The 12315-nt window shown below is 34.5% G+C and overlaps 1 protein-coding gene across 22 annotated transcripts in view, besides 1 other annotated feature; it reads right to left on the reverse strand.

Annotated features, from left to right (window-relative positions):
* Positions 1-12315, reverse strand: part of BRIP1 (BRCA1 interacting DNA helicase 1) — a 184390-nt gene that overhangs the window by 102643 nt on the left and 69432 nt on the right. For all 22 annotated transcript variants that reach the window (XM_047436893.1, XM_047436891.1, XM_011525333.4 and 19 more), the window contains exons 10-11: positions 11816-11948; positions 2489-2643 (exon numbers count right to left, since the gene is read on the reverse strand). In XM_047436893.1, the coding sequence (XP_047292849.1) occupies positions 2489-2643; positions 11816-11948 (288 nt within the window). The remainder of the gene's footprint in view (positions 1-2488; positions 2644-11815; positions 11949-12315) is intronic.
* Positions 2365-2464: an enhancer, noted in NCBI's record as "active region_12535". NCBI's record gives its function as "activates an Ori minimal core promoter by ATAC-STARR-seq in GM12878 lymphoblastoid cells {active_cell/tissue: GM12878}" and the evidence as "EXISTENCE:reporter gene assay evidence [ECO:0000049][PMID:35858748]".

The raw sequence follows: 12315 nt of genomic DNA on the forward strand, positions 1-12315 counted from the left end.
GTGGTGGCAGTCGCCTGTAACCCCAGCTACTCAGGAGGCTGAGGCAGGAGAATCACTTGAACCCGGGAGGTGGAGGTTGCAGTGAGCTGAGATAGCGCCACTGCACTGTAGCCTGGGTGACGGAGCAAGACTCCATCTCAAAAAAAAAAAAAAAAGTAAAATGTGATATTCTCTACCATGTCTTCGCTATAGTATTTCCTTATTCATTTCACTCCTAGAGAGATTAGATCTCAAAATTAAAGTTGGGAACTTAACAACTGTGGAGAGAATCTTATAAAAATACTGGGAGCCAAAAACTGTAAAACTCTTAAAACAAAGGGGAGACCGGGTGCGATGGCTCACGCCTGTAATCCCAGCACTTTGGGAGGCCGAGGTGGGCGGATCACGAGGTCAGGAGATCGAGACCATTCTGGCTAACACGGTGAAACCCCGTCTCTACTAGAAAATACAAAAAATTAGCCGGGCTTAGTGGCGGGCGCCTGTAGTCCCAGCTACTCGGGAGGCTGAGGCAGGAGAATGGCATGAACCCGGGAGGCTGAGCTTGCAGTGAGCCGAGATCGCGCCACTGCACTCCAACCTGGGTGACAGAGCGAGACTCCCGTCTCAGAAAAAAAAAAAAAAAAAGGAAAAGAAAACATAGGGGAAATCTTCATATCAGATTTGGCCATGATTTACTGGATGTGACACTAAAAGTACAGGCAACAACAAGAAAAGAGAAAGATAAATTGGACTTCAACAAGATTAAAAACCTTTTCTGCATCAAAGGACACTATGAATAAATGAAAAAACAACCCACAGAATGAGAGAAAATATTTGTAAAGTATATATCTCTTACAGGACTGACATCCAGAATATCTAAATAACTACAGCTCAACAACAACAACAAAAAAACCCAATAATTCAAAAGTGGGCAAAAGACTTCAATAGATATTTCTCCAAAAAAAGACATACAATTGGCCAATAAGCACATGAAAAGATTCTCAACTTCTCTAGTCATTAGGAAATACAAATAAAAACCAGATGATATCACTTGATACCTATTAGGATGGCTATTATACAAAAAATAAAATAACGAGTGTCAGCAAAAACAATTCTGATATATGCTGCTACATAAACTGTTGGCAAGGATGTGTAGAAATTGGAACCCTTGTGCATTGATAATGAGAATGGAAAATAATGCAGTTGCTGTGAGAAACAGTATGGTGAGTCCTCAAAAAGTTAAATGCAGCATTACCATATGATTCTGCAATTCCACTGCTAGGTACTTATATACACCCAGAAGAACTGAAAGCAGAACTCAGATATTTGTACACCAACGTTCATAGTAGCATTGTTTACAATAGGCAAAAGATGAAAACAACCCAAATGTCCATTAACATAAGAATAAATTAACAAATTGTGGTATATACATACAATGGAGTATTATTCAGCCATAGAAAGGAATGAAATTCTGATATATGCTACTACATAAATGAACTCTGAAAACACTGTGCCAAATGAATTGAAATAAGCCAGACACAAAAAGACAAACATTGTATGATCGCTCTTATGTGAAATACCTAGAAAGGACTTCATAAGATGAAAATAGAATACAGGTTAGCAGGTGATGAGGGGAAAGACTCTAGGGGTTATTATTTCATGGGTACAGAATTCCTATTTGGAATAATAAAAAATTTCTGGAAATCTCTGGAAATGAGTACAATGTACAACATTGCAAATATACTGTACTTAATGGCACTGAGTTGTATACGTAAAATGGTTAAAATGGTGTATTTTATGTATATTTTACCACAATAAAAAAAAAATACCAGAACTAGGTACTACTATAATTTAAGTTACAGGATGAGAGGGATTGGTTGTTTTTCATTTTCCACAGTTCATACAATAAAAAAGGGACTTTCTGACACTGTAGGAACATAAGAAAACTTTAGCAATAGAAGATAATTTAATATGAATTAATTAAATATATTTATTTAATGATTTCAATATTCATTAATATAAAAGACTAATTTTGGCCAGGCATGGGCTCACACTTACAATCCTAGCACTTTGGGAGGCTGAGGTGGGAGGATCACTTGAGGCCAGGAGTTCAAGACCATCCTGATCAACATAGTGAGATCTCATCTCTACAAAAAAAATAAAAATTAAAAAATTAGCTGGGTGTGGGTGTTGCACACCTGTAATCCCAGCTACTCAGGAAACAGGTGGGAGGATTGCTTAAGCCCAGGAGGTCAAAGTTGCAGTGAGCTGTGATCATGCAACTGCACTTCAGCCTGGGTGACAGAGAAGTCCCTGTCTCAAAAAAGCATCAGACTAATTTCAATTCCTCTAAGTCTGTGTCAATAAGAGCAAATATATAATAATATCTATAACACTTGTTTTCAATTCTCCTATTTACTCACCCAAAATAGGTATGTATTAAACACATGCTAGCATCCAAATTAGGCTATTTTTAAAAGGAAAATACATACTAGTTATCTTCACTTACCTGCTATTTTGCCTAAAAAGATAGTCAAGTACCATAAAAAGTCCTTTAAGCATTATTTGAGTTGATGCACTAATAACAGGTACTTCTCTTGCCTCCTCTTTACCATAAATTGGTGAGATTTTTTCCTCTTTTTGAAGAACAGCAGAAAAATGTCCCTATAAGAAATTACCATATTAAGTATAGAGGGGTTGGGAGGGAATTGGAAAAAGAAACTTCTCAAAAATACAATGAAACCCAACAAAACATGCATTGAAATTTTAGGTGAACAGAATTGCTATAGTTTGATAGTCTGACTTCTCCAAATCTGATATTGAAATTTCATCCCCAGTAATGGAAGTGGGGCATATCAGGAGGTTTGGGACCATGGGGGTAGATACCTCATGAATAGATTAACGCCCTCCCTAAGTAGAGAGGGGGTGAGTTAGTGCTCTGTTAGTTCCCACGAGAGCTGGTTGTTAGAAAGAGCCTGACACCTCCCTCCCTTCTCTCTCTCGCTTCTTCTCTTGCCATATGATCTGTACAAACCAGCTCCCCTTCACCTTTTGCCATCAGTGGAAGCAGGCTAAGGTCCTCAAAATTAGATGCTGGAGCCATGCTTCGTACAAGCTGCAGAACTGTGAACCAAATAAACCTCCTTTCTTTGTAAGTTACCCAGCCTCAGGTATTTATAGTGATACAAACAAAGACAATTATTAACAGCACAATGCTAACAATATATTTTAGATTGCCATATTAGCAAAATTCTCCTCAGAGTCAAAGACTCTTTAATAATAAGTTAGGTATTTAGAAGATTCAATCAGGGTATTATTTGGTGCCTTTCAGATGTAAGGAATTAAATAAAAATGTAGCAAATGGCTTCTCCAAAAGGCTTTAAAGAGTTGATATGTTGCCTTAAATCCATGAGTTATTTCCAGAAAGTAATTCTGATGCTGAGAATAATATGACTACATCACAAGCAAAACTAAATGACTTAAGGAAACAATACATGCTAAATAACAAAATGTATGTTAACTGGTTCTTTGGTCTTTACATGGCTCATAAGTTTTAATATGGATGAAAGTGTGGACATTAAAACAAAATTATAAGAAAACAGAAGAGTATGTTCCCCACATTGTAAAAGAGAAAATTCTGAATACTGAAGCAATAAAAGATATTGGTGACAACTCTGATGTCTGACAATAAAATGTGTTCAATGAAAATAAAATGGGGAAATAGGATAAATAAGAAAGATACATTTTAATATTCAGATATATCATGAAACAATACAAATCTATAAGAGTAAAAATCAGCCTTCACTGAACAAAACATTACAGAATACAAATAAGTAGAAAGACTTAAAAAACAAACCAACAAAGAACAAACAAGAAAGACAACATGAACTTGGAAAAATATTCAGCCCTGCAATGAAATACAAATATCAAATTATTCTTTTTGAAAAATGAAGTCCCCTCAGCAACACCTTATATCAAAGCTTAATATCCTTCTCCAACACTGGCAGAACACTGGCAATTTACTCTGATAAAATATAGAAAATATAAACTACTAAAGGTGAGGCGCTGTACTAAAAACAGAAGGGCTAAATGAAATCCTACATATTCAATTATTAGAGTACTCCGAGCTCAATTCCAGTTAGCTTACCTACACATTGGCAGCTGGGTTGGGGGGGGTAGAAAAATAGAAAACTAAGCAATGGAAAAATAAATAAAAAGTTAATTATGGTTCCTTAGGAAACATACATAAAGCTGTATAAAAATATAATCAAGTAAGCTACATGCATTACTATCATGGGCTATAATAATACATACACGTGATGATATCCACGCTGAATATCAATATAACTATACTGGCAGAATAGAGAGTGAAGAGAGAGAAGAAAGAAGGGCAGAAAAGCAGGAAGCAAAGGAAGAAGAGAGAGCGCATGAGTGAGCGTGTGTGTGTGTGTGTGACAGAGAGAGAAGAGTGTGTGTGAGTGTGTGCGTGTCTAAAGGAGCTAAATCATCATTATACTTAACAGAAAGTCAACAGACAACATCTAAAATTGAAAACTCCAAAGAAGCAGAACCCACGTTATTTTTTTAAATGTGGTTAAATATCAGAAGAAACCACTACAAGAGATAAAAGTGCACTCCAAAGTGAGAATTGGGATTGAGGAGTGGGTCAGAGGAATGCTTTTCTCAACAGAACTGACTCTTTATATTCTATAGGTATACTACTTTGGTAAAAATTCCTAAAAATATTGATAATCATAATGATGAATGTCTTAGCCAACTAGAATTAGGGCAAATTTCCTTAATCCAATAAAAATAACTATAAAATATATAATATAATAAAAATATAATATATATATTATTTAACAGCTCTAATTAATTTTTTAATTTAATTAACTGAATTGAATTGAATTAAAATTAACAGCTTTATTGAGCTATAATTCACATGCTTACAATTTACCTTTTTAAAGTGAGTTCTGTGGGTTATTTCTATATTATATATTTTATATATTATATATTTATATATAATATAGTATATATTATATATTTATATATTTTATATAAATATATTTTATATAATATATTTATATAAAATATATATTCATATATGTATTAATATATTAATATATAAATATATTTTATATATAATGTAAATATAAAAATATATATTTATATATAATATATTTATATATAATATATTTATATTATATTTATATTTATAAATTTATATAAATTTATAAATAATTTTATAAAATTATAATTTTATTTATAAATAAATTTATATAAATTTATATAAATTTATAAATATAATTATATATAAATATATTGCATGTTTATGTATTAATAAATATATTAATATATAATATATTATATACTATATAAAATATATAAAAATATATTATATACTATATAAAATATATAAAAATATATTATATACTATATAAAATATATAAAAATATATTATATACTATATAAAATATATAAAAATATATTATATACTATATAAAATATATAAAAATATATTATATACTATATAAAATATATAAAAATATATTATATACTATATAAAATATATAAAAATATATAAAACATTATATATTAATATATTATATATAGTTATATACTATATATAGTATATATATTTATATAAAATATTTATATAAAATATATAATATATATACTATATATTATATATAAATATATAATATAAAAATAACCCACAGAACTCACTTTAAAAAGGTAAATTTTAAGCATGTGAATTATACCTCAATAGAGCTGTTAATTAAAAAAGAATTTTTAATCACAGCAAACATCTCAATAAAGGGTGCAATACTAGTAATTCCTCCTTTAAGCAACAAAACCAAGATGTCTTTTTCTTTTTTTTATTTTATTTTATTTCTTTTTTGAGACAGAGTCTCGCTCTGTCGCCCAGGCTGGACTGCAGTGGCGCGATTTCGGCTCACTGCAAGCTCCGCCTCCCAGGTTTGCGCCATTCTCCTGCCTCAGCCTCCTGAGTAGCGGGGACTACAGGCGCCCGCCACCACGCCCGGCTAATTTTTTGTATTTTTAGTAGAGACGGGGTTTCACCGTGTTAGCCAGGATGGTCTCAATCTCCTGACCTCGTGATCTGCCCGCCTCGGCCTCCCAAAGTGCTGGGATTACAGGCGTGAGCCACTGCGCCTGGCCCAGGATGTCTTTTTCATTGCCTGTGATAAACAACGCACTGGAAGTCTGAGACAGCATAGTAAGAAATAAAAACATGAAGAAATAGAAAGAAATGAGAAAGAAAGAAACCGGTCATTATTCAGACAATATGGTTATCTACATGGAAAATTTAAGATAATCTGTGGGCAAACCTGTAAAATAATTCAACAAGGTGGTTAATAAGACAATTATAAGATAAATATATAAAAATCAAACACCAGTTTTATATAGCAATAACAATTAAAAATGTAATTTTAAAAATATATCATTTGTAATGGAAACAGAAACTTTAAGCTACCCATGAATAAATCTAACCAAAGCCATCTAATCTTTTAAAAATAAAATTATAAAATTTTATTGAAAGATAGGAAAAAATAATGAAGAACTATATCTTGTCATGAATGGGAAAACTTCATAATGTAAATGCATGAATTCTTTCCAAATTAATCTATAAATACAGTGCAATTACAATAAAAATTCTAACAGAACTTTTCCTAGAGATTATAAGCTAATTCTAAAATTCAAATGGCAGAGTAAAACAAAGGACAGCTGATACAATTCCAAAGGAAAATAATAAAGTGAGGGATATGCCCTACTATATATAAGCACTTTTCTTAAATCATTAATTAACAAATGTGACAAATTAGAGAAACAGAATGGTGGAACACAATCAAGTCCAGATATAAATTCACACATATATGAAAATTAGAGGGACTGGGTGTAGTGGTTCACTCTTGTAATCCCAGTGCTTCAGGAGGCCGAGGTGGGAGGATCGCCTGAGGCCAGGAGTTCAAGACCAGCCTAGGCAACATAGTGAGACCCTGTCTCTACAAAACATAAAAAAAATTAAGCCAGGCACGGGTGGCTCATGCTTGTAATCCTAGCACTTTGAAAGACCGAGGCGGGTGGATCACTTGAGCTCAGGAGCTGGAGACCAGCCTGGGCAACATGACAAAAGCCCGTCTCTACAAAAAAATACAAAAAATGAGCCAGGTGTGGTGGCATGCTTGTGGTCCCAGGTACTTGGGGGCGCTGAGGCACAAGAATTGCCTGAACCTGGGAGGCGGAGGTTGCAGTGGGCTGAGATCACACCACTGCACTCCAGCCTGGTTAACAGAGTGAGATTCTGTCTCAAAATAAATAAAAAAATAAGTAATTAGCCAGGTGTGGTAATGCATGCCTGTAGTCCCAGCTACTGAGCAGGCTATGGCAGGAGGATCCCTTAAGACCAGAAATCCAAGGTTACAGTGAGCTATGAATGCACCATTGCACTTCATTCCGGGCAACACAGCAAGACTCTGTCTCTTAAAAACAAAAAAAAAAAGTTAAAAAATATTTTTTTAATTAAAAAAAGAAAAATAGGTAGCAGAGGTAGCATTACAAATTAGAGGGAAATTAATATGCACTATTTAGGAAACAGTGCTGGGACAATTCTCTATCCATACAGGAAAAAAATTGATTCATAAATTCACAACATAAACAAAATGAATCCAAGGCTTTGTAAAAGTATTTATAAATCCCATCCTTTATAAACAATAAATACCTTAAAATTTTTAGGAGAAATATAACATAGGATAAGAAAAGACTGCTTAAAGTAAATTCAAAAACCACAATTCATAAGGGATGTTCATATCAGAACTGTTTATTATACTGGGAAACTGGAAATAACCTATATTTCAACTTATCAGATTAATCAATTTAGAATAAGTACACTCATAAAAATGCTACACCGCAATTAAAAATTATGTGAAGGAATCTTTACTTAAATAGGAAAGTATACACAATATATTGTTAAATTAAAAGAGGGTAAAACAAATGTGTCATATCAGAAATATATTTATAATAAGCAAATATGGGCATAGAAGAAGGCATAAGTAGACATAAATCACAATGTTCACAATGTTCATCTTTGAGTTTATGAGTCATTTTTCTTTGTGCCATTCTGTATTTTCCAGTTTTTTTCCCTTGACATACATTTTATTTGTACATTTTATAACTGACATGTAACATATACAGTAGAATGAACTAATCTTACATGTACACCTCACTAAATACACACACCTCCCCATGTAACTAACACCTGACCAGGATACAAAACATTCCTAGAATCCCAGATGTTCCTTTGTGCCCCTTCTCAGCCCAAACTGCTTCAAACCCCCACATAGTTGTAACCAGTACTTCAACTTCTGTCACCATAATTAGGTTTGTCTGTTCTTCAACTTCATAAAAATAGATTTATACAGTTTATACCCTTTTGAATCTGGTTTCCTTCACCTAACATAATATTTAAGATTCATCTAGAGCCAGGTGCGGTGGCTCACACCTGTAATCCTAGCACTTTGGGAGGCCATGGTGGGCGGATCACCTGAGGTCAGGAGTTCGAGGCCAGCCTGACCAACATGGAGAAACTCCGTCTCTACTAAAAATACAAAAAATTAGCCAGGTGTGGTGGCGCATGCCTGTAATCCCAGCTACTTGGGAGTCTGAGGCAGGAGAATCACTTGAACCCAGGAGGCAGAGGTTGCGGTGAGCTGAGATCACGCCATTGCACTCCAGTCTGGGCAACAAGGGCGAAACTCCATCTCAAAAAAATATATATATATATCTATATGGTTGTGTTGGAAGCAGTTCATTTTTTATTGCTATGTAGTATTCCACTATATGAATATGCTACAATTTATCCTTTTCTTTTTTTTTAAACAGGGTCTTGCTCTGTGCCCCAGGCTGGAGTGTAGTGGTGCAATCATGGTTCACTGTAGCCTCAACCTCCTGGGTTCAGGTGATCCTCCTGCCTCAGCCTCCCAAGTAGCTGGGACTACAGCGCATGCCACCACACCAGCTAATTTTTTGTAGACAACAGGGTCTTTGTTGCCCAGGCTGGTCTTGAACTCCTGGGCTCAAGCAATCCGCCAGCCTCAGCCTGTCAAAGTGTAGGATTACTGGCATGCACCACCACCCTCAGCCCCATTTTACTGTTATATAAGTAGCTTTCAAAATGCAAACAATTTATGCAAAAAATATTATGAAAGATGTCACAATATGGAAAAATTCTTACAATAGATACCACGCTGCATTTTATAAATGCAGGGCAAAAATTTAAGTATATCCTGATTAAAATATATGTTTTAATAGTCACATGCCCCGAATACTATTGTGATCATGTTGGCAATTATTTTCATCATTTTTTTTGTTCAAAAACCTCTTTGAGAAATAACATCAGCAAGATGGAAGAATTTGAGTTTTCTAGCCAGGCACGGTGACTCACACCTGTGAGCCCAGCACTTTGGGAGGCCAAGGCAGGTGGATCACTTGAGGTCAGGAGTTTGACACCAGCCTGGCCAACATGGTGAAACCCTGTCTCTACCAAAAATACAAATATTAGCCGGGCATGGTGGGGCATGCCTGTAGTCCCAGCAACTCAGGAGGCTTAGACATGAGGATCACTTGAACACGAGAGGCAGAGGTTGCAGTGAGCCGAGATCACGCCACTGCCCTCCAGCCTGGGCAACAGAGTGAGACTTCATCTCAAAAAAAAAAAAAAAAAAAAAAGAATTTGAGTTTTCCATTGTCATCTCCCAACAATGAACCAATTCTGACAACCACTCGCACATGAGAGTACCTTTGTTAAGAGTCTAAGAGTCTAGCAGAGAAGTTCCAGGACCCCATTGGAGCAAAAAATCCAAGAACAGATGCATTGAAGAGGGCAAAAAGTATAGTTTCATATTACCTACATCACCCCTGCCCCATGGAAGTACAGCCCAGTGCCAAGAGAGCCTCCATTAGCCCACAATTCTTCCCATGGGGAAAAGTGAGAATATAGTGAGTGATTAATGAAATAAAGAAAATGTGGCACATATATATATAATGAAATATTCAGTCTTAAAAAAGAAGAAAATTTTGCCATTTGCAACAACATGGATGAAACTGGAAGTATTATGCTATCTGAAATAAGCCTGATAGAAAGACAAATACTGCATGCTATCACTCATATGTGTCATCTAAAAAAGTTGTACTCGTAGAAGCAGAGTCCTCAGCCCCAAAGTTCACTGGTGAAGATGTACAACAACAGGAACTTTTGTTCATTGCTGGTGGGAATGCAAAATGGTACAGCCACTTTTTGTCAAGAGACAAAGTCTTGCTATGTTGCTCAGGCTGGAGAGCAGTGGCTATTCACAAGCATGCAATCATAGTGCACTACAGCCTCAAATTCCTGGGTTCAAGCAATCTTCCTGCCTCAGCCTCCCAAGTAGCTGGGACTACAGGCGCATACCACCATACCCGGCAGTTACAGCCACTTTTGAAGACTGTTTAGCAGTTTCTTGCAAAGCTAAACACAGTCTTACCATATAATACAACAATTGTGTTCCTAAGTAAATATCCAAATGAGTAGAAAGCTTGTCACTAATAGAAATGTTTATAATAGCTTTATTCACAATTGCCAAAAACTGGAAACCATCAATGTTTCTTTCAGTAGGTGAATGGATAAACTGTGGTACATCCAAATAATGAAATATCATTCAGCTATAAGAAGAAATGAGCTATCAAGGCAAAAAAATACATGGAGGAATCTTATATGCATATTGCTAAGACAGAAGCCAGTCTGAAAAGACTACATACTGCACAATTTCAACTATATGGCATTCCAGAAAAGGCAAAACAATGGAGTTAGTAAAAAAAATCTGTGGTTGCCAAGGGTTTGGTGGGTGTGGGCGTGGTGTGGTGGAGGGATGAATAGGTGTAACACAGAAGATTTTTAGGACAGTGAACACACTCTGTATGATACTGTAGTGGTGGATTCCTAGGCAAAACCTAATTGAACTCTACAACACAAGGGGTAAACCTTAAGGTAACCTATGGACTTTAATGAACAATAATGTAGCAATAATGGTTCATCAATTATAACAAATATACTACACTATTGTAAGAGGTCAATAATGGGGAAACTATGGAGTTGGTGTGTATTGTGTATGTGTATAGGTGTGTAGCTGGGAGTGAGAGTATATGAGAATTCTGGACCTTCTGCTTAATTTTTCTCTAAACCTAAAACAACCATTCTAAAATACATAATCTATTAATTTAAATAAGTAAATAGCAACAAAAAAAGAAAATATATTCTTATCGGCAAAAAACATTAGAAAATATAATGAAATTTATGCAGCCTCTATTTAGAAAAATGTACAAAAGGATACGCTCATAAAATTTTGCATATAGCTTCATAAGTTTCATAGTCTTCCAAAGCCTACTCATGATCTCTCCATGAATATCAGGTTTATAATTTCTAAATTAAGATGAACAAAATAGGAATTTCTCCTCTTTTTATTTTCTAAAATTTTAACTTTTACAATTGACTAAGTAAGTCTACAACCTAAAAATATTGACTCCTTTTAGCTTTAAACAAAGCAATTAATCCCTTTAAAGACTAATTTCCTTCAAACTAAATAATGCTATATTTTCACCCACAATTTACCCATGCCATCACTTAAAGATTATCAAATTTAGATAATAAAATTTTTAAAAAATTAAATTGCTATATTTAACAATTCTGGGTTACTCACTAGATTTAATCTGGATTTAGTCACGACTAAATCACTTCTAATTCACTAAATACGTTTCACAGGTAGAAAAAATATCTTACCTGCAAAATGGGAAAAGTAGCAGTGGTGATACCCATTTTGTGTAAAGTTAAGAGCATTTCATTTCCACTCCATATTTTACAAGCTGATTCATAATCTCTTTCTACAAGATATTCAGCGTTTGCTTCTAACCAACTGAAATAAAATAAAACAATTGTGTCAACCAGTATCATCCTTACACACACTATTTCAGCAGAACAAGAGAATCATCATTATTGTCATGCGTTGATCTGTATATCTTGACATTCTTAGGACATGAATGTGGATTAATTAAGACACCTTTTAAAAAGCATTCATGTCTCATATTGCAAAATAAACTTTATATAACTGAAAAGAAAGCTTTTATTCAGAAGAAACAAACATGCATATGATTTCCCACTTGTTTTGTGGATTCACATTGCTTTACTTAGCTAATGTCTCTTCAACTGAGAGCCAGGTCTTAGGTACTTATCCCAAATATATATAAAAGGAAATGCAAAACAACCTAATAAAGAAATTAAAG

This window comes from Homo sapiens, chromosome 17 (genome assembly GCF_000001405.40).
Source record: "Homo sapiens chromosome 17, GRCh38.p14 Primary Assembly".
Taxonomy (NCBI): Eukaryota; Metazoa; Chordata; class Mammalia; order Primates; family Hominidae; genus Homo; species Homo sapiens.